General features: G+C 54.4%; 1 protein-coding gene and 1 long non-coding RNA gene across 4 annotated transcripts in view, besides 6 other annotated features; one reads left to right on the top strand and one right to left on the bottom strand.

Moving 5' to 3' along the window:
• Positions 1-4,614: 4,614 nt before the first annotated feature.
• Positions 4,615-21,632, top strand: part of TPPP (tubulin polymerization promoting protein) — a 40,866-nt gene continuing 23,848 nt past the window's right edge. Inside the window, exons 1-2 of one of the 3 annotated variants that reach the window (XM_047416674.1) lie at positions 11,990-12,064; positions 12,599-12,781. The gene's annotated coding sequence lies outside the window, so the exon portion shown is untranslated. Of the gene's footprint in view, positions 4,698-11,989; positions 12,065-12,598; positions 12,782-21,632 lie in introns of those variants that run through there. The other 2 variants (XM_024454346.1, NM_007030.3) reach the window with 2 other exon arrangements.
• LOC101929898 (uncharacterized) lies at positions 6,495-11,802 on the bottom strand. The gene is made up of 2 exons (XR_925675.4): positions 11,620-11,802; positions 6,495-11,261 (listed from the first exon to the last, which is right to left on the bottom strand). It is a non-coding gene; the product is annotated as an uncharacterized LOC101929898 (long non-coding RNA).
• Positions 10,190-11,068: an enhancer, noted in NCBI's record as "H3K27ac-H3K4me1 hESC enhancer chr5:694389-695267 (GRCh37/hg19 assembly coordinates)". NCBI's record gives its function as "activates a minimal SCP1, AML or CMV promoter by ChIP-STARR-seq in naive H9 embryonic stem cells {active_cell/tissue: H9 hESC(naive)}" and the evidence as "EXISTENCE:reporter gene assay evidence [ECO:0000049][PMID:30033119]".
• Positions 11,738-11,987: a silencer, noted in NCBI's record as "silent region_15876". NCBI's record gives its function as "represses an Ori minimal core promoter by ATAC-STARR-seq in GM12878 lymphoblastoid cells {active_cell/tissue: GM12878}" and the evidence as "EXISTENCE:reporter gene assay evidence [ECO:0000049][PMID:35858748]".
• Positions 11,982-12,564: an enhancer, noted in NCBI's record as "H3K27ac-H3K4me1 hESC enhancer chr5:692893-693475 (GRCh37/hg19 assembly coordinates)". NCBI's record gives its function as "activates a minimal SCP1, AML or CMV promoter by ChIP-STARR-seq in primed H9 embryonic stem cells {active_cell/tissue: H9 hESC(primed)}" and the evidence as "EXISTENCE:reporter gene assay evidence [ECO:0000049][PMID:30033119]".
• Positions 18,027-18,528: an enhancer, noted in NCBI's record as "H3K4me1 hESC enhancer chr5:686929-687430 (GRCh37/hg19 assembly coordinates)". NCBI's record gives its function as "activates a minimal SCP1, AML or CMV promoter by ChIP-STARR-seq in naive H9 embryonic stem cells {active_cell/tissue: H9 hESC(naive)}" and the evidence as "EXISTENCE:reporter gene assay evidence [ECO:0000049][PMID:30033119]".
• Positions 20,485-20,654: an enhancer, noted in NCBI's record as "experimental_86841/86842 CRE fragment used in MPRA reporter constructs". NCBI's record gives its function as "activates a minimal promoter by MPRAs in K562 erythroleukemia cells, with activity observed for both the introgressed and non-introgressed 5:684888 or rs55660354 variant alleles {active_cell/tissue: K562}" and the evidence as "EXISTENCE:reporter gene assay evidence [ECO:0000049][PMID:34662402]".
• Position 20,569: a transcriptional cis regulatory region, noted in NCBI's record as "Neanderthal adaptively introgressed variant 5:684888 (GRCh37/hg19 assembly coordinates) or rs55660354 in the experimental_86841/86842 CRE". NCBI's record gives its function as "modulates activity of the experimental_86841/86842 enhancer by MPRAs in K562 erythroleukemia cells {active_cell/tissue: K562}" and the evidence as "EXISTENCE:reporter gene assay evidence [ECO:0000049][PMID:34662402]".

Below are 21,632 nucleotides of genomic sequence, written 5' to 3'. Positions count from 1 at the left end.
GACTTACCTTCCACTGTGAGAGTTACCTGAAGCTCGGCATCCGTGATGGTCTACGGCGCTTCCGAGGCGATTGGGCAGCGTCAGTCTTCAGCCACTAAGCTAAGAAGATCTGGGAAGGAATCAGAGAGCCTTGGGCCAGAGTTCCAGGGGCTCTGGAAGTGGCTACCAGGTGAGTTGAACAGTCCGATTTTCAGTGGGGTCCCGCACAGACGGGACACAGCTTAGGAGGAATCCTGGGCTGTCGGCATTCCTTGGCTTGGTGGCCAGATTTTTGGCACTTGTAGCAAGCTCCTGGGGAGGAGGTTCTGGAGGAACGCCTGGCAGCTGCGGTTCAGGTGTTTGGAAGTTCTTGTGTGCTGGAGATGTGGCTGGGGTTTGTCTCACAGTGGAGACAAGGAATTGCAACTTTTTTCTATTATTGTACATCTTGAAGGCGAGGTTAATTAAATCCTGTTGTGGGGTTTGAGGGCTGGAATTTAATTTTTGGAGTTTTATTTAATGTTGGGAGCAGATTGGGTAATAAAATGTATTTTGAGAATAAGACAGCCTTTTGACCTTTTAGGGTCTAGGGCTGTAAAGTGTCTCAGGGTTGCTGCCGAACGAGCCATGAACTGGGCTGGGTTTTTATATTTGATGAAAAAGAGCCTAAACGCTATCTGATTTGGGATAAAGAAAAAGGAGCATTAACCTTGACTATGCCTTTAGCTCCAGCCACCTTTTTAAGAGTAAATTGCTGGGCAGGTGGGGAAGAGCTAGTCACGGAACTAAACTGTAAGCCGGACCAGGTGTGAGGAGGGGAGGTGATAGAAGGATTATAGGGTGGAGGAGTGGAGGCTGAGGAAGAATTGGGACTTAGCTCAGCCTGCTGATGAGCAGCCTGGGGAGGAGGGGAAAGGTCAGATGGGTCTGTAGAAAAGGAAGACTGGAAAGACTCAGCGACACTTGGGGTTGAGACTGAGGGGACAGGCGGGAGGGAAAGAAGGAGGATCTGGGAGGAATCGCATTGGGAACAGAGGCTAGGGAGGGAATGAAGTGTGAAAAATGCCTGGACATAAGGCACCTCAGACCATTTGCCCATTTTTTGACAAAAATTATTTAGGTCTTGTAGGATGGAGAAATTGAAAGTGCTGTTTTCTGGCCATTTAGAGCCATTGTCAAGTTTGTATTGGGGCCAAGCAGTGTTGCAGAAGAAAATAAGGCATTTAGGTTTTAGGTCAGGTGTGAGTTGAAGAGGTTTTAAGTTCTTGAGGACACAGGCTAAGGGAGAAGAAGGAGGAATGGAGGGTGGAAGGTTGCCCATAGTGAAGGAGGCAAACCCAGAGAAAAGAGAGTGTAGAGACATGGAGGGAAGGGGTTTGGGGTTCTTACCCTCCAGAAAAGTGGGAAGGGGGGTTGGGGCACAGAAATAAGGGATTGGGGCACAGAGATAAGAGGTCGGGGTGTGGAAATAAGGGATTGGGGGTTCTTGCCCCCTAGAAAAGCGGGACTTGCCGCTAAGCGTGAAGGAGAAGGGGTTGAGGGGTACTTGCCCCTCCCCCAGAAAAGCGGGACTTGCCGCTGAGGGTGAAGGAGAAGGGGTTGAGGGGTACTTGCCCCTCTCCCAGAAAAGCAGAGAAGGGATAGAGACAAGGAGAGAAGGGGTTGGGGTACTTGCCCTTTCCCCAGAAAAGCAGAGAAGGGGTAGAGACAAGGAGAGAAGGGGTTGGGGTACTTGCCCTTTCCCCAGAAAAGCAGAGAAGGGGTAGAGACAAGGAGAGAAGGGGTTGGGGTACTTGCCCCTCCCCCAGAAAAGCGGGACTTGCCGCTGAGGGTGAAGGAGAAGGGGTTGAGGGGTACTTGCCCCTCTCCCAGAAAAGCAGAGAAGGGATAGAGACAAGGAGAGAAGGGGTTGGGGTACTTGCCCTTTCCCCAGAAAAGCAGAGAAGGGATAGAGACAAGGAGAGAAGGGGTTGCGGTACTTGCCCTTTCCCCAGAAAAGCGGGACTTGCTGCTAAGGGTGAAGGACCAAGGCAGGCGTCCCTGCGTGGTCTGACACCCTTGAAACGTGGGTGAATAATCAGAGAGGCGTCCCTGCAGTGATTAAACACCAAGGGAAGGCTGCCTTCCCAGTCTGTGACCGGCACCACAGTTTTGGGTCCACGTATAAAACGTGTCTCCTTTGTCTCTACCAGAAAATGAAAGGAATTAAAATTAAGAGAAGGGAGAGATTGAAGTGTGGCGCCAAGATTGAAAGGAGAAAGAGGTTGAGGGATAGTGAGGGAAGTTGGAGAAGAGAGTAAAAGGAGGCCGCTTACCGGATTTGAAATTGGTGAGATGTTTCTTGGGCTGGTTGGTCTGAGGACCTGAGGTCATAGGTGGATCTTTCTCATGGAGCAAAGAGCAGGAGGACAGGGGATTGATCTGCCAAGGGAGGTCCCCTGATCCGAGTCACGACACCAAATTTCATGCGCGTCCGTGTGAAGAGACCACCAAACAGGCTTTGTGTGAGGAATAAAGCTGTGTATTTCACCTGGGTGCAGGTGGGCTGAGTCCAAAAAGAGAGTCAGCAAAGGGTGGTGGATTGTCATTAGTTCTTATAGGTTTTGGGATAGGCAGTGAAGTTAAGAGCAATGTTTTGTGGGCAGGGGTGGCTCTCACAAAGTACATTCTCAAGGGTGGGGAGAATTACAAAGAACCTTCTTAAGGGTGGGGGAGATTACAAAGTACATTGATCAGTTAGGGTGGGGCAGGAACAAATCACAATGGTGGAATGTCATCAGTTAAGGCTATTTTTACTTCTTTTGTGGATCTTCAGTTACTTCAGGCCATCTGGATGTATACGTGCAAGTCACAGGGGATGTGATGGCTTGGCTTGGGCTCAGAGGCCTGACAGAGACCTTGTCAGCCTGGCCTTCATTATGCATATTTCTATCTGTATTTTGGTTCCAACCACTTAATAAGTCACTAAGTTCCAAACTTTTCCCATCTTTCTATCTTCATCTGAGCCCTCCAAAGTCTTCCAACCTCTGCTCACTACCCAGTTCCAAAGCTGCTACCACATTTTCAGGTATCTTTATAGCAATGTCCTGCTCCTCAGTGCCAGTTTTCTGAATGGACCCATTTTTGCATTGCTATAAAGAAATACCTGAACCTGGGTAATTGCTGACAAAAGACCTGAATCCACAGGTATATGATGAGTAATTCATGACAAGCTGCACGAATAAAAATAAGAAATCCAGGCCTAGACACATTGTAGGGTAATGGGGAACACAAAAGAAAATCTAACTTTAAAAACAACCAGAAAGAAACAACAAATCATCCATAGAAGAAAAGCAGTTAGACAGCAGATGTATTAATTGTAACAACACTAGATAGACAAATAATATTCACAAAGTGTGACAAAAAAAAAAAAAAAAAAAAAAAAAAAAAACACTTTTGACCTGGAATTATGTACCAGCAACACTATCTTTAGGAAAAAGAGCAAATTAATCACATTTCCAGATAAATCAAAGCCAAGTTTGCCACCAACAATCCTACACTAATGGGACTTCAAAAAAGATGTATTTATTGAGGGAAAATGTGTAAAGCAAACACAGATAGAGCCCACAGGGAATAATTTTTAAAAATTCACTATCACTTGTGGAAGTTTTCAGTGCAACTCTCAATTACAGTTAGGTCAATCGTATTTTTAAAATAATAAAAACATAGATTTGGACAACACCATTAACAGGCTTGAATTATGGGATATCTGTGGAACTGCAAGCTCATTTATTAATAGAAAATGTGCATTCTCCTTAGGCACACAAGGAATATTGCCCAAAACACTGCTTACTAGCCTCAACAAGTCTTAAATAACTTCTACAGGATGGACCAGTGTTCCCCTTTACATACTTTGTCTGACAATTTTTCCTGTCTGCTTTTAAAATTTCTACTTATCACTGGGATTGAGCGATTTGATTATAATGAGACATGATGTAATTTTCTTCAATGGTACTTGTGCTTGAGGTACATTGAACTTCTTGCATCTGTAGGTTAATAGTTTACATCGAATTGGGGAAAAAAAGGTTGTCATTATTTTTCCAAACATCTTTTTTAATGCACTACCCTCATTCCTCATGTTTTCTTCTCTCCTTTGGGGACTTCAATTAAACATATATTAAGCCACTTGAAGTTGTCCCACAGATCACAGATAATTTGGCTTAAATTTTTTTAAATCCTCTTTGCTTTTGGTTTCATTTTGGATAGTTTATATTGCCATGGTTTCACAATGAATAATCTTTTCTTCTTTAATATCTAATCTGCCATTAATCCCATGCAGTGCAGTTCTCATTTTATACGTTCTAGCTTTCACCTCTAGAACAGTGATCCAGAGTGTTGTTATATCTTCCGTGCCTCAAATTAGCTTTTACAATATGTGGAATACAGTTTTGATATTGTTTAATGCCACTGTGCCCGTTCTGCATCAGTTTTAATAGACTAATTTGTCTCCTTATGGCTATTTTCCCACTTGTTTGTGTGCCTAATATTTCTGATTGGATTTCAAAAATTGTTGCCTTCTCTGGTGTTGGATATTTCTGTAGTCCTATAAATATTCCTGAGGATTTCATAGAACTGACAAAAGACATGAATCCACAGGTATATGAAGAGTTGATTTATGACGAGCTGCATAACTAAAAAGAAGAAATCCACACCTAGGTAAACCTTATTCAGGGATGCAGGTAAGATAAAATCTTATTCTGAGATGCAATTATTTAAGAACAGAGTTTTAAAATATTTATAGATGTAAGGGGTAGAAGTGCAGATTTCTTCCATGCATATATTGCATAGTGGTGACATCTGGGCTTTTAGTGTACCCATCGCCTGAATAGTGAACATTGTACTGAAGAAGTAATTTTTCAACTCTCACCCCCTTCCACCCTCCCACCTTTTGGAGTGTCCAGTGTCATCTTATTCCACTCCATACGTCCATGTGTATACATTGTTTAGCTCCCACTTATACTTGAGAACATGTGGTATTTGACTTTTTGTTTCTGAGTTATTTCACTCAGGATAATGGCCTCTATCCATGTTGCTCAAAAGATATGATTTCATTCTTTGTTAACGGACGGGTAGTATTACCTTGTGTATATATGCTACATTTTCTTTAACCAGGCCTCCACTGATGGATGCTTAGGTTCATCCATTTTCTTTTCTGTTGTGAATAGTATTGTGATAAACATAAAGTGCAGGTGGTTTTTGATATAATTAATTCTTTCCCTTTGGGTATATACCGAGTAGTGGGGTTGCTGAACCAAATAGTTGTTCTATTTTTAGTTCTTTGAGAAATCTCCATACTGTTTTCCAGAAAGATTACACTGATTTACATTCCCCCCAACAGTACTTCAGCATTCCCCTTTCTCCACATCTTCACTAAAATCTCTTACTTTTAGACTTTAATAATAGCCATTCTGACTTGTCTAAGATGGTATTGCATTCAGATTTTAATTTGCCTTTCTCTGATAATTGGTGATGTTGAGCATTTTTTTCATGTTTTTTGACCACTTTTGTGTCTTCTTTGTAAAAATGGCTGTTCATATCCTTTGCCCACTTTTTAATGGGCTTATTTGGTTTGAGTTCCTTGTAGATTGTGGATATTAGCCCTTTGTCAGATGCATAGTTTGCAAATATTTTCCCATTCTGCAGGTTGTCTATTTACCCTGTTGATAGTTTCTTTTGCTGTGCAGAAGGTTTCTAGTTTAAGTTCCATTTGTCTATTTTTGTTTTTGTTGCAATTGCTCTTGAGGACTTGTTCATAAATTCTTTGCCTAGGCCAATGTCCAGAAGAATTTTTCCTAAGTTTTCTTCTAGGATTTTTATAGTGTTTGGTCCTATGTTTAGGTCTTCAATCCCTCTTGAGTTAACTTTTGTATATGGTGAGAGGTATTTGTCCAGTTTCATTCTGCTGCATATGCCAATCCACTTTTCCCAGCACCATTTATTGAAAAGGGTGTCATTTCCTCAGTGTCATTTCCTGATTTTTATTGACTTTGTGTCTTTATTTCTGAGTCCTCTATTCTGTTCCATTAATCTAGATGTCTATTTTTGTACTACTACCATGCTGTTTTGGTTACCATACCCTTGTAGTATAATTTGAAGTCAGGTAATGTGATGCCTGAAACTTTGTTCTTCTAGCTTTGGATTGCTTTGGCTAGTTGGGCTCTTTTTGGGTTCCATGTGAATTTTAGGATTTTTTTTCTAATTTGATAGAGATTGTGTTGGGTCTGTAGATTGCTTTGAACAGTATGATAATTTTTAACAATATTGATTCTTCCAATCCATGAGCATGGGATGCTTTTCTGTTTGTGTCATGTATGATTTCTTTCATCAGTGTGTTGTAGTTCTCCTTATAAAGATCTTTCACTTCCTTGGTTAAATATATATCTAGGTAATTTTTTGTAGCTACAATAAATGAGATTGCCTTCCTGATTTGGTTCTTGGCCAGATTGTTATTGGTGTATAAGAATGCTATTGATTTCTGTACATTAATTTTGTGTCCTTAAATGCTACTGAATTTATTTATCAAATCTAAGAGTTTTTTGGTGGAGTCGTAATACGGTTTGGCTGTGTCCGCACCCAAATCTCATCTTGAATTGTAGCTCCCATAATTCCCGTGTGTTGTGGGAGGGACCAGCTAGGAGACAATTGAATCATGGGGGCAGTTTTCACCATCCTGTTCTCATGGGAGTGAATAAGTCTCATGAGACCTGATGGTTTTATAAGGGGAAACCCCTTTCACTTGGCTTTCACCCTCTCTCTTGCCTGCTGCCGTGTATGATCTGCCTTTTGCCGTCCACCATGACTGGGAGGCCTCCCCAGCCGTGTGGAACTGTAAGTCCATGAAACCTCATTTTGTTTATAAATTACCCAGTCTCAGGCATGTCTTTACCAGCAGTGATACAAGTCTTCAGGGTTTTCTATGTAGAATATAATTTCACCAACAGAAAGGGATAGTTTGGGCTCCTTCTTCTCCAATGTGCATTCCCTTTATTTCTTTCTCTTGCCTGATTGCTCTGGCCAGGACTTTCAGTACTGTGTTGAATAAGAGTGGTGAAAGTGGGCATCCATGTCTTATACCAGTTCTTAGAAGGAATACTTTCAACTTTTCCCCCTTAATTCTGATGTTGGCTGTGGATCTGTCATATGAGGCTTTTATTATGTTGATGCATGTTCCTTCTATGCCTCATTTGTTGAGAATTTTTATCATGAAGAGAGGCTGAATTTAATCAAATGCTTTTTCTGCATCTATTTAATGATCATATGGTTTTTATCCTTAATTCTGTTCATGTGATACGTCACATTTATTGATTTGCGTCCCTGGGATAAATCCCACCTGATCAGGGTGTATTATCCTTTTGATGTGCTGTTGGGTTCTATTTTCTGGTATTTCGTTGAGGATTTTTGCATCTATATTCACAGGGATATTGATCTGGAGTTTTCTTTTTTTGTTGCGCCTTTGTCTGGTTTTGGTCCGAGGGTGATACTGGCCTCATAGAATGAGTTAGAGAGATATCCCCCCTCTTCGATTTCTTGGAATAGTTTCAGAAGGATTGGTATTAGTTCTTCATATGTTTGGTAGAATCTGGCTGTGAATCCATCTAGTCCTGGGCTGAGTGCAGGGCATCCACACAACAAGTGAAGCCACTTCTGGCAGTGGGGAAAACAGTTACAGGGACAGAAGCTGACCAGGCTCCTTGTGGTCTGCTTGGAGCCATCTCGGCTTTACAGAGCTCATTGCCCACTGCCTCTGAAAGCCACACCCAGGGCTGCCCTTGCCAGAGGGGTGTGTCCTCTCCACTGCAGACACAAGTTCCTCCCTTCTCTGCGGCCCTCCGCTCTGCAACGCCATCCTCTCTCTGGTCCTCCGTGTCTCTGCCAGGCATGGGCTCCTGTCCACATCTTTTCTTCCCAGCACGCTGTCCTGTTGCCGTGTCCCCGCATCTTTCTTCCCTAACATCGGCTGTGGAACTGAGGTAGCGATGGCTGGCGTATTAAGAATGTGCTCCAAGCAGCTCAGCCTAGGGCTGAACACCCCCCATTTGGCTTCCCCTCCTCATCAGCCCCTGACCTGTGGCAACAGTGAAGCCGCAAGGCTCACCTGCCGTTCTCTGGGTCACAGGTGTGTGATAGGGGGGCCAGAGTCGCTCCCTGGCAGCAAGACCCGGAACCTGCACTTTAATTCCATGTTCCACAGCAATTCCACCCCCAGAATAACCAGATGCAATCACAGCCCAAACACACACAGGCACGTGCACACACACAGGTGCAAACACACACACATGCACACAAAGACACACAGGCCCATGCACACACAGGCACACGCAGGCACACAGACACATGCACACACATGCAAACACACAGACACAGGCACGTGGACATACAGGTGCAAACACACATGCACACACAGAGACACAGGCACACGCAGACACACTCATACACACAGAGACACACAAATAGACACACACACAGCTGAACATACACAGCTGAACACATACCAACATACATACACCGGCATGCATACTCACACATACAGGTGCACATTCACACATAGGAATGCACAAACACACGCATGCATGTGCACACTCTCACACTCTCACACACAGGTGCACACACACATCCCGGCAGACATTTTCCCTAAGCTGCCAAGGACCCATGGGAGCTGCTTCAACACCCCCATGAGGCTTCCCAGGCCCCACACCCAGGCAGGCACGTCGTTACTTCACTGACCACCCCCTCTGACCTCATGCACCTAGGCTGTAGCTTGTCCCCAGCCCAGGGCCCACACAGGAGCTGGTTAGGGTTCTCAAGGGGCCCTGACTGCTCACCTGCTGTGGGACACACCCCTACGGGGCCCAAAGAAGCTGCTCAGCCTATAGGCCGTCAAAGGACATTCAGCTGCCAGGGGTGGGTGGACACCTGACAGGTCCAGCTGCAGGACACCTCAGTGCTGGGACCCGGCATCCTCACACTTGGCCTCGGAGGCCTTTTCATGTCTGCTGCTGTCCGCGTGAGTCCATTGCTCCCCCCGCTCCCCGTGCCTCTGTCTTCAGCATGGGGCCTCCCAATGGACCTGGGCTCCTGTCCTGGTCTCCCACTGCAGACCCAGATGGCCCAGCATCTCCCACCATCCCTTCCACCCAGGGCTTCCAGTGCTACCCACCATGCTGTGTCTGCTCTTCCCAACCTCCACTGTCAGCCTGAACCTCTACCCACAAAACCCAACCCCAAACCCAGGCAGGGGTGGGCGCGGGTGCCAGGCAGCAGGGGCTTGTCCCGGAGAGCTGTCCTCCTCCTATGTGACAGCTGCCTGGCCTGGTGCTCCCAACTGCGGACGCAGAACCTGTGCAGGAAGCCGTGGAAACAGCTACAAGCAGGCAGGTGTCCCGGGGAACGCTCCTGGTCACTGACACGGTAACACAGGTGGAGCTGGGAAAAGCATTGGTGCTGGGGTGGTAGTGACCCCCACCCAAGAAAGTCACATTGACCCGGAACCTCAGAGTAAGACCTTACGTTAAAATAGGATCTTTGTAGATGTAATTCGATTAAAGATCTTGAGATTATCCCAGCTTCTCCTGGCGGCCCTTAAATCCAGTGACAGGTGTCCCGATAAGCAAAGGAAGAGACAGACACACTAACTCGGGGGAGGAGGCCCCGTGAGGACAGGGGCAGAGGTGGAGCCATGCGGCCACCACCCAGGACCGCCTGGAGCCACAGAAGCTGGAAGAGGTGGGAACCTCCGGAGCGCACAGGCCTTGATCTCGGACTTCTGGCCTCCTAAGCCGTAAGAGGAAAGCCCTGTTGTTCAACCCATTTGTAGTGATTTTCTAAGGATCCCCAGGAAACATCTTATAACGGGACACTTGGCGTGGATCACATCATTGGCTGTGAGTCGGTTTTCAGTAATTGCAGGGTTAATGGAGGCTGTCCAGGTCTGGCAGTGGAGCAAGAGCTGGGGGCCAGGAAGGGCCACCGGACGGGCAGCCATGGCCAGGTGAAGAGCCTGGAGTCCCGAATCAGGATCCACCTCTCCCTGCTGAGCAAGATCCTGTGCCCCTGTTTCTGGTGATTTTGTAAGTGCTGACTGAACCGACTGTCGCTGGGAAATAACACACCCGTGACCCCAAGCCAAAGTTTCACCCACAGACAAGGAAACAGACTCCATGAACACGCCGACTCCCGACGGTAGAACCGGGGTGCCCACCCCAGCCCCGGTCACTGTGTGTCCTGCGCAGGGGCCAGGGCAGCCCAAGGCTCAGCTCTGTCCTCCTGCCCAGACCTCGCTCAGCCCCCTGGACGCCGCCCCGCGCCCGCTGCCTCTCCTCTCCTCTCCTCCCAAAGGCTCCAGGACCATGTCTGCCTCTGAAGCCTGACGTTACCTCCCACTGCGATTTTATTGTAAACTCACTGCATTTATGTCAAGAGAGTTTGTACAGGTTTTGGAAAATGCACTGAAGAGTCCCCTTGTGCCTATTAGGACGGTAAGAACACACCAAGGAGAGATTATTTCATTATTTCTTTGATGCTGTTAGTAGGATCTACCCGAGGGGGAGGCACTCCGGGCTCCGCGGGACGAGAAGGCAGCCGAGCCCGCACCCGAGCAGGAGGGAAGCAGGAGCCGCAGCGTGGCCGCCGCACAGCTTCGGGGGTCCCCCGACTTCCCAGCTGCGAGTGTGGAATTTCTCAGGAGAACTAGACAGAAGCCCATCTCTGGGCAGCACTGAGTGGAAGGAGAAACCACAGGAGAGGAGAGGAAGTGTGGGGCGCGGGACCACCGTGGGGTGGGTGGGGGCCAAGCCGCCGGGCTGTGAGGCCTCAGCACCCCCTGCCCAGCACCCAGCACCCCAACTTCCCCTTCTGCCTTTGCGGATTCCAGGGCCTGCTGGACACCTGGTGCAGGGACAGAGCCGGGGCTGGGGGAGGAGCTCAGCTGCACTAGAGTCCAGCTGGAAGAGTCCAGCTGAAAGTCACCAGAGGCACCCCTTCCTCCTGGGGGGCTGCGCCTCGGCCTCCTCCAGGGCAGGTGCCCCTATGCCCCTCAAGTCCCAGCACCCAGCACCACAGAACCGCCCTGTCATCTCGGCCCCGGAACCTTGTGGGGAGCCAACTCCTGCGGAGGGCCGGGCAGCCCCGGGCGGAATGAGCCCCCTCCGCAAAGCCTGTCTGGGGAGCGGGGGAGGGGCGGCAGGTGCCCGGAGAAAGGCGAGATTGGAAGAGCGGCCGGGATGGTGGCGCTGCATACGGGCGACCTGCAGGGAGAACGGAAGCTGAGGCCGGGGTCAGGGGTGCGCGCTCCGCTCCTCCACTCCTGCGTGAAGGGCGGCCCACTCCCGAGCAGCTGCGCTGGGCGCCCGGCACGGACCCGTCTCCCTGCTCAGGTCGATCCCCGGCCGCGCTGCCCCCACCTGGAAGCCCAGTCCCCTGGGTGCGCCCCGCCTTGGGGTCCGAGCACCCTCACAGCCCGGCCCTGCCGCTTCCCTGCACCGTCTGCGGCTCCTTAAAGAACTGGGCGCGGTCGGGGCTCGCCCCGCACCGTCCTCGAGGCCCCGCCGCCAACCCACCCCACCCCAGGAGGCCGCGGCCGCGCTCATCCATCCCCCGCCGCACCGTCAACGCGCGTCCTGCGGGGCGGAGAGATCGGGGTCCGGTCGTCCCCGGGGGGCCCCAGAGCCAGGTGAGGGGCCCCGCCGCCCCCTGCCCAGCGGTTCCCACGACCCGCGGGTCGGCCGCGCCCTGCGCTGAGCGGATACCCGGCGGTCCGCGGGGCCTGAGCAGAGTCGGCCTTGTAAGGCAGAGGTCTCGGTGCGCCCGCGCGTCCCCGGGCCGGGTGGGGCGGCGGGGGCGGGGCTGCCAATGAGCGCGCGGGGCGGGACGCTGGGCGGGCGCCGGACGCTGGGGGCCGGGGGCGGGCCCGGGACCGGGCTGGGCGGGGCTGGGCGGTGCTGGGCGGGACGGGCGGGCGCGGGGCGGCGGCTGGAGAGCTCCGCTGAGCACCGGGTCGCGCGCGGCCGAGTCGCGGAGGCGCCTCCGCTGCAGTCGCTGCGTCTCCAAGGTAAGCGGGCGCGGGGCTCGGTCCCGCGGGCGCGGCGCGGGGGGCACCCGGGGGCGGAGACTGGGCCCGTCAGCCCCAGCAGCCACCTGCGCCGCAGCCCCTGCCCCCCGCGCTCCCCCGAGCCCCCTTCCCGGACCGCCCCGCGCGTCCCTGAGCCCCCGGATTGGGATGCCCGGAGTTCGGCGCTGCGGGCTCGGTGCGAGGACGCGACGGGGAGGCTTTGCAAAGGCCGCGAGCGGGGGTCACCGTCGGCCGCGCCAGGGACAGGTCTGTCACCGTCTCCGGGCCCTGTGCCTGGCGCTTTGGCCTTTCTTCGCGGCCACGGACGCCCCTGCAGCCCTTCCCTCCAGACCCTCCCCAGCTCGGGACTCGAACCGTTTCCCTATTCCCAGGCCTAGGGGGCCGCCGGTGTGAGGCGTGGGAAATTAGGGCGTGGAGGGCTGGAATGAAGTCACTGCCCGCAGCAGGTTTTGAGAGATCCCTGGCCACAGAAACGGCCCATCTCAGGGTCCTGACACCACCGCGTCCTGGCAGGTGGGGCTGTCAGACCGCCCCCCGCAGAGCCTCCAGCTGCCCCGGGTCTTGGCTACTGTCCGCGGGCCTGTGGCGATGGAGAGGCGCTGCCGGGACACCTTCCCGCACCCCTGGGAGCAGCGCCCGAAGATCTGAGGAGCCCTTTATTCTGCGGTTTCGGTTACGTAAACGGAGCCGAGGGAGGTGAGAAGCCTGTCCCTCCCGGGCAGTGGCGGGGCTGCTGTTTTGATAAGGGTTTTGGGGGGGCTGTTGTCTTGATGGGGGTTTGGGGGGCTGCTGTTTTGATAGGGGTTGGGAGGCTGCTATTTTGATACGGGGTTGGGGGCTGCTGTTTTGATAGGGGTTTGGGGGGCTGCTGTTTTGATAGGGGGTTGGAGGGCTGCTGTTTTGATAGGGTTGGGGGACTGCTGTTTTGATAGGGGGTTGGGAGCTGCAGTTTTGATAGGGGTTTGGGGGCTGCTGTTTTGATAGGGGGTTGGGAGGCTGCTGTTTTGATAGGTGGTTGGGAGGCTACTGTTTTGATAGGGGGTTGGGGGGCTGCTGTTTTGATAGGGGTTGGGGGCTGCTGTTTTGATAGGTGGTTGGGGGCTGCTGTTTTGATGGGGTCTGGGGGGCTGCTGTTTTGATGTGGGGTTGGGAGGCTGCTGTCTTGATGGGGGCTTAGGGGGGCTGCTGTTTTGATAGGGGGTTGGGGGCTGCTGTTTTGATAGGGGTTGGGAGGCTGCTGTTTTGATAGGGGTTGGGGGGCTGCTGTTTTGATGGGGTCTGGGGGCTGCTGTTTTGATGAGGGGTTGGGGGCTGCTGTTTTGATACGGGTTGGGGGGGCTGTTGTCTTGATGGGGGTTTGGGGGGCTGCTGTTTTGATGGGGGTTTAGGGGGCTGCTGTTTTGATGGGGGTTGAGGGCTGCTGTTTTGATGGGGGTTGAGGGCTGCTGTTTTGATGAGGGTTGGGGGCTGTTTTGATGGGTATTTGGGGGCTGCTGTTTTGATGGGGGTTGGGGGCTGCTGTTTTGATGGGGGTTGGGGGCTATTGTTTTGATGGGGTTTGGGGGGCTGCTGTTTTGATGGGTATTTGGGGGCTGCTGTTTTGATGGGGGTTGGGGGCTGCTGTTTTGATGGGGTTTGGGGGCTGCTGTTTTGATGGGGGTTGGGGGCTATTGTTTTGATGGGGGTTGGGGGGCTGCTGTTTTGATGGGGTGTTGCGTTCCCTCTCAGTGTCACCGCTGATCCACCTGGCATGTTTATTGGCTCTTCTGCTTGCAGGGCCCCTGGGGGACCGATAGAGGACTGGGCCCCTCCGCCCACCCCGGCCACCCCTCCCCGCCTGACTTCTCAGGGGGAGAGGTCTCCCCCCACGCCCAGCCAGCCCCTGCCCCTGGGAGGTGACCCAGCTCCCTGTGGCCTGGGACTAGGAGATGGGGCTGGACCAAGGCCGGGAAGGGGCAGGAAGTGGAGGGGAGTGAGGCAGCTGCAGCCTGATGCCGCCGCCTTGAACTGGGCTCTCGCGCCTGTCAGCCGCTCGGTGCCAGCGCCTCCCCACCACGTGATCCTCGGAGGGCCTGTGGGGGAGGGGCGGGCTCCCGGAGCGGCTGCAGAAGGCGAGCTCCAGGAGGGTGTGTGCGTTTTCCCGGGAGGGGTCTGCAGCTTTCATGGTTTCTAAACGGATCTCTGATTCAGAAAGGCGCCGGCATGAACTCGCTTTGCATCTTCACAAAACATGAAGTCATGGGGATTGGACCGCGTGTGCGTGGAGGAAGCTCCGCTGGTCACTGGCTGCGTTTTAATCTTACAGCTGCGGTTGGTCTATCTTCCCGAATTCCCTGAAGTTGCAATAAATGTTTTAGCGATTATACGAGGTTATAAATGCTCGTTGTGGAAATGAGCATAGAATGCTCACAGAAATGGTCAACAGGGGCTTCCTTTTGACCCCCTACCCTAATTTGCAAGCCTCACACTGGCAGTGGCTGCCCTAGGCCTGGGAATCGGTAAACAGGGTTCGTGCACCGGGCTGGGCAGGGCCCGGAGGGAGGGGCCGCAGGGGGCTTCCGTGGGCACAAAGGCCAAAGCGCCACACGCAGGGCTCAGGAGAACTTCCTGAAGAAAATTAGGATCACCCATCGCAGATGGAGACTGGGGAGCTCTCTGGAGAGTCAGGCAGTCTGTTCCCTCCCAGGCCTGTGGGAGCCACCCCCTGCAGAGGACGCAGAGAATTAAAAGCTTCCTCGGGAGAGGCCGTGCCAGCAGAGAGCCGAGTCTATTTATAGCTGTTGGTGAGACAGGGGGAGTGTGTGAGAGGGATGCCATCTGGGGCTCTTGGGGCCCCCAGGCCAGTGCTGGTCAGCGCCCTGCAGTACCTGGCCCAGCCTGGTGCCCTCAGGCAGAAGCGCCTTCGGGAAAACACTCTGGGTGAGGAGAGTCGCTCAATGCCTCCGCCTGGGCTGGGGGAGCCAGAAGGCTATGCCCAGGAGGGTTGTGGCCGGGTGTCTAGTCCATCTGAGCCCACAAACCCTCAGCCAGGAGCCAGGATCAGGCAGCAGAATCTACACACGCCTAGTTCCTACTGCTCGAGCAAAAGGTGTTTCCTGGGAAGGAAGGGGTGGAGCTGCCTGGGTCAGGCCCAGCCACATCTGGGGCTCAGGCCTTGTCCCCAGCATCCACGAGCCAAACCCCAAGCTGCCCTGCGTGGATCCTCCTCCTAGGGAGACCAGCTTCTTCTTGGTGTGTGTGTGTTTGGGGTTGCCACAGGGCCATAACCCACTGCATCCCCCTGATAAGATCTTCCACCCAGGGCAGCCCCCACCCAGGGCAGCCCCCACCCAGTTGATCCCCCACCCAGATGATCCTCCACCCAGATGATCCCCCACCCAGATGATCCCCCACCCAGATGATCTGCCACCTGGATGATCCCCCACCGGGGACATCCCCCACCCAGGGCAGCCCCCACTCAGATGATCCCCCACCCGGGGCAGCCCCCACCCAGATGATCTCTCACACAGGGCTTCCCTCCTAGGGCATCTGCAACAGGCTTTCCCCCTAAGGTGACATCCCCCTCCCAGGACATCCACATCCCAGAGCCACCCCCTCCCAGAGCCACCCCCTAGGCCATTCCTTCACCAAGGCTCCACCACCCAGGACAACCCCCACAAAGATTCCCCACCCAGAGCATCCTCCCCACATGGCATCTCCACCCAGGGTATTCCCCCACCCAGGGCATGTTCCCCACATGGCATCCCACGTTTGACTTCTTGGCATGATAAAAGGTGCCTGCCCATGTGGGCTCCATGAGATCCCCCAGGGCGCATGGCATCACAGACCACATTTCCCAGATCCTATAACCTGTAACCCCAACCTGCTCGTTTGTTCACAAATGTCCAACGTGGCCTCCGCCCAGGGAGTGCCACCAACAGCCGCACCTGCCAGGCGACTTCACACAGCTGCTGTCCCCCTCTGGCCATCAGTCATCAGTCAATGGGGCCAGGAGCAGTGAGCACCGTGTATGGGGTATGGAGGTGGCTTCAAACCCAGGCCCTGGTCCAAGGGCCCTCATGTCTGACACAGGCGAGCTCCCAGCACCCTCTGCCTTGTCAGGAGTATGTGACATGCCTTCCTGGCCCACAGAGGTGGGTGAAGTGTGCGTACCTCAGCGTGCCCATGGCTGCCACTCACTGTTCACCCACTCACACTGGATCCCCGCCCAGAAACACACCAGGCCAGTCCCACCCCACTCAGAAGTGCTGCTGGTGCCTCAGGGCCAGGGAGCCATGTCCAGGCCCCAGCCAGCCCCGGGGACCTGACCCAGCCCCTCCCCCTGAGCCCAGGGCACCGCTGCACAGCCACCTGCATCTCCCACCCATGGCATCTCGCAGGTGACCTGGCCACCGTGGCTGCATCTGGGGCGTCCACCCTCTCCTGCGCACACCGGCCCCCGCTTCTCCTAAGGCTGCCCAAGGGCCGGTTTTCTCTGCCCCTCGGCGGGGTGGCACCTCTGCCTTCTCAGTGCCTGAGGAGCCTGGGCCATGGACAGAGCCACTGGGGTGAAGCTCATCTCAGCCTCACCTCCCACCAGGCTTGTTCCTGCCACCTTCGTCAGTGCCCACGTGTCCCCAGGCCGCCTGCTGGGAGGGCCCCACCTGGCACCTGGCACAGTCCACCTGCAGTTCTAGTGCCAGCCGTTCTGGGCCGCCTCTCTTCGTGTTCCGGGAGTGGGATGGGGTCTTACTCACCGTCCGTTTTCCCGTCGAAGCTGCAATTCCTGAGCACTGTGCTTTGGCTTTGCCTGTTTTTAACCTTTAACCAGAAGCCACGTGGTGGGCACACTGCTGTGCTGGCTAACGTGGATCAATACTGTGCGCGAGTGGTCCGTCCACACTGCGTCGAGGAGCCCCAGGTGCTCGTGCTCAGCGCCGCCCACACTCCCACGGGGATGCCCGCTGTCCCTGAGACCACCATACTGTCAGCAGGTGCATGTCCACGCGGTTCCCCTTTCTTGGCAACTAGGGATGAAGCTGTCGTGGGCATTCCTGGGATGTTCTTTGGGGCATGTGGTCATGAGTCTCTTGGGTCAATCTGGAAGTGGAGCCGTTGAGTCTGGGATCTAGTGTGTCTTTTCGTTCATCAGATGATGCCAAGCAGTTTCCCAAAGGGATTAAAGCCATTCGCCCCCACAGTTTCCTGTTGACCCACATCCTTGCCGGCACTAGCCACTGTCAGCCTTTGCAATGTCTTAGCCTTTTGTAAGGCTGTGTGGAAGCCTTATGATTTGCATTTTCCTGGTCATACTAACGAAGCTGAGTGCTTCCCACCGAGCACTGGGCACTTGGATACCCTCGTCCCCGAGGGGCCTGTTCAAGTCAGCTGCCCTTTGTGGATTGAGTTCCTATCGATTTGTAGAGGTTCTTTATATATTCTGGAGACAAGCCAACATTTGTTGTGCATAGCAAACATCTCCTACCCTGGGGTTTGCTTTTTCACTCTCTTGATGATATTTTTTCAACGAACAGAAGTTCTTTCTTTTAATCTGGTGCCTTCTAAGAATCTTTTCCTGCAGGACAAGGCTTTCTGTGTCCGTGTAACAAATTTCCCCCACGCCAAGAACATCAGAAATTCTTTTGCATTACCTTCCCAAAGCTTCTAGATCTGATCTGGAGGACAGCCCTTTAGCATGCAGACGCAGCTGAACCTTCCCTTAAATCAGCAAATTCCCGTCAGCTGACTTCCTCACACCAGCCACGTATGCAGCCTTCATTTTCTCCACCTAAAAATGGGCAACCAGAGGCTGGATGTGTCTCAGAAGGCAGGTGCTGTTGGCAGCCCTGGCCTAACACCCATCCTGGCTTAGGTGGACCCCCAAGGGCCTCTGGAGCCCCCTGTGGTCTCTCAGTGCCACCTGAGGGCCTCAAAGACTTTGTTCCCCATGAGGGGTGCTGAGCCTCTGGTCCCACCCGCTGTGTCACTGTGTCCAGAGGCTTCTGACAATTGACACAGTCCGGGGTTAACACAACAGGGACGCATTCCCCCATCCTCCTGGAGACCAGAAGCCCAGCGTCCAGGCATCTCATGAGTCAGCTTCCTCTGGAGGCTTGGTGGGACGCTCCCTGCCTCTTCTAGCTTCTGGTGGCTCCAGTTGTCCTGGGCGTGTGGCTGCGTCACTGCAGCCCCGGCCTCATGGCGACTGTGTTAGTCCGTGTGTGTTGCTGTAACAGCACCAGGCATGGTAATTTATGAAATGATATGTTCACTTCTCACAGTTCTGGGGGCTGGAGAGTCCAAGATCAAGGCACCTGCAGGCTTGGCGTCCGACAAGGGCCCTTCCCTGCTTCCAAGACAGGGCCTGGTTGCCATGTCCTCATGCCCCAGCCCTTTGATAAGGCACTCGGTCATTCCCAGGAGCCTGGCCCCCATAGCTGAATCTCATCCCCCAAAGGCTCTGTTAATGCCACCACAATGGGGATTAGGTTCCAGTGTGGATTTTGGAGGGGACGAATTCAGCCTGTAGCACCTTCTTCTCTTCTCTCTGTGTCTTCTCTTCTGCCTCTTCTAGGTAGAGACACTCACCATTGGATTTAGGGCTCAGCTGTGGATAATCCAAGATGATCTCATTTCCAGATCCTTTCTCCAAACAAGGTCGCGTTCACAGGTTCTGGGGATTAGATGGGGCCACCATTGGCCCAGAGCTGCCCTGGTTCCAGCTGCCTGCAGGTGCCCTGGACCCGGAGCCCCGAGGGTAACCCAAGGGCAGTGAGTGGGCTGGGGCGGGGCAGGGCAGGGTCCTCGTGAGTCTGGCACTCAGTGAAGCTGCGCTGGATGAGGGACCAGCCCCTGGTTCTGCAGTGTTCTGTAACCTGCTCTGCCCCCTTGAGAGCCTCGGCTGTTTTCTCCTGTAACCCATTGTGCCTCCCTTGAGAGCCCCGGCTGTGTCCTCTAACCTGGTGTGCCCCGCGTGAGAGTCCTTGCTGTCCCCACAGAAGGTGCCTTTAATGGAGGCAGGTCCCACCGCATCTGCAGCCGCCGAGTCTCCGACATGGTTGATGGGATGAGCCAGCCGGGATCTCTATTTTATTCCCTTTTGGGATGCTCTGTTGGTGGAATGTCCTGTGTCGTGCTTTAGAGAAATGGTGTTGGCCCAGGTGGTGGGCACTGGCTGGGCATGTGGTTTAACTCTCACTTGGGCCTTGGACAGCCATCTCAGACCCGTATCAGTCTCCGCCACAGCGTCCTTTGCAGAGTCCGGGAGCCCTGTTGGCACCTCCATCCCATGGTGGCCATTCGGTGGCAAAGTTGGTGGCCCTGGCAGCCCCGGCGTCTGTGGCCTGGATACTCAGCCATAGTGCTCTGGAATGTTCCATCCTCCCACCTGCGTCTCCCTGTCATCCTTAATCCTGAGTCTCCCACTCAGAGGGGATCTGCCGTGTGGCCTGGGAGGGTTTTCTCTGAGACTGCCCCGCCTTCTCATCCCTACACCTGAGTGCAGATGGGCTCTGGTGGCCGTCCCCAGAGTGGCCACGCTGGGCGCTGCAAGGACCACACTCTGCAGATGGGGGCCAAGATGTGGTTCCCAGAGGCAGAGGGCACCAGGGGCTGGGTGCACCCTGTTGACCCGAGAAGCTCCTCCGCAGCCATCTCTCTTCTTCTGAGGGCGGAGGGAGGGTGAGTGGAGGTGGCCAGGGCCATGCAGCCCCTGCTCCCCTGCCCCCCTTACCGGAAGGCTCCTTGTGCAGGGCCCCTCCCACCCCATGAGCCTTAGGAGTGTGCAAAGCCTGCCCTGTCCTGCCCAGGTCTGAGGCCATGCGGTTGTGGTGAGTGGCAGGGGTCCCGAGTGGCCCAGTGCAGGATGGCCGGAGGACGCCATGTGAGACGACCAGGATAGAAGTGTGGTGTGCTGGGGACGCTGCCACAGGACTCCACCCTGCCCTCCTCCTCCCACTTCCTTGGGGACTGCACTCAGCCTGGGCTTGGCTCTGGCCTTCAGGGTCCCTGGAGAGCAGGAGCCCGACCTCAGGTCTTCTATGGGGCAGAGCCTCAGCCCAGGCCTGGAGACCCCATCCTAGCGATCCCTCTGGACCAGTGACCTCTCAGGATCAACCAGTGACTCTCAAGAGTGATGACCTCTGGACCAGTGACCCCTCAGGACAGTGACCTCTCAGGACCAGTGACCTCTCTGGACCGGGCACCTCTCAGGATGGTGACCTCTCAGGACCGTGACCTTTCAGGACTGTGACCTCTCTGGACGTGTGTCCTGGGGCGGCCCCGGCCGTGTGCACCTGTCTGGCCTCTGGGTGGGGTGTGCTCCCGAGTGTGCCGTGGGGATGCTGGGCTGGAGCGGCTGATCATCCTGCCTCCTGTGCTGCAGGGGGATGTGCACAGACTCAAAACTGCCGGCTTTGTTCTGATTGGGAGCTCTGACTGCCTGACAGGCGGCCTGGGCTGAGAAGAGTGGGGCGGTTCACAGGGAGAGTCCCGCGGAGCAGGAGTGCCGTGCGATGATAATGAAAAACAGGAACCGTCTGCGCTCAAATGGGCACTGAAATAAGGAGTGGGGGCTGGCGGGGTGGCACGGTGTCCACCCTGGGCATGGCAGGACCTGAGCCACCTTGTTCCTTGGCCCTGTTTAATGGGGAAGCACCTCCTCGGCAGGAGGGCAGGGCTCCAGGTCCTAGAAGGCCCCTTGGTGGGACAGGAGGGCTGGGTGAGCTCCACAGGGGCTCTGTCCACTCCTTCCGCTGTGAGAGTGGCTTTTGCTTCTGGGGCTTCGGGTCGCTGTGGTCTTTGATGTTGCTGTCCCCTTGTCCTCTGGGTCTCCAGCGCCGAGAGCTGTCCAGGCTGAATGCCCAGTGGGCAGCTTGGGGCCAGGACCACACGGCGTGGGCCCAGGAGGCGCCCTGCAGTGGAGACTTTCTCCTCAGCCCTGCTGGCCAGGCGCCTACAAGGTCTCCCTTGGGGCTGTGCCGTGCCTGTGCTTCGGATTTACTGGGGGGCTGCTTCCCCCTGGTCCCGATCCCCTCCGCTCCCTCAGTCAGCGTCCTGGGGCCAGGTCATGATGGAGCACTGGGCGTTGCAGAGGGGCCATCCCAGGGCTTCGGCGTCAAGGTGGAAACTGTGGCCGTGGGACATTGGAGGGTCCATCAGGCCCTCAGGAGCTTTGCCATCTGCAGGCACGAGAGGGTCCTGTTCCGGCAGTGGGGTCTGGCCCTGGGGTTTCCTAAACAGGAGTGGGGTTTAATGACAACAGTCTCCAGGGACTCTGGGCAGGATTGAAGGCTGTGATGGCAGCCGGCCCGAGGTGGAGGGTGCTCCCCCTGGACAGGACTTGGGCGTAAAGGTTCTGAAGAGCCCAGCGGCAGCACACCCAGCTGAGCCTGTGGAGGCCGGGGTATCCGCAGGGGAATCTGCCCATGGAGAGAAGACCAGGGACCGCCAAGGTTGCCCAGCATGCACTCCCACCTGCAGGGCCTGGGACAGCTCCTGTCGCCAGCTGAGAGATGCCTGAATACTGCTGAGCGCCTCGGCCCCCACCCCTCCAACCTGTTTCCCAATC

The sequence above is a fragment of the Homo sapiens genome, chromosome 5, assembly GCF_000001405.40.
Source record: "Homo sapiens chromosome 5, GRCh38.p14 Primary Assembly".
Classification (NCBI taxonomy): Eukaryota; Metazoa; Chordata; class Mammalia; order Primates; family Hominidae; genus Homo; species Homo sapiens.
Note: the sequence above shows the minus strand (reverse complement) of the source record. Positions and strands in the feature narration are given on the sequence as shown.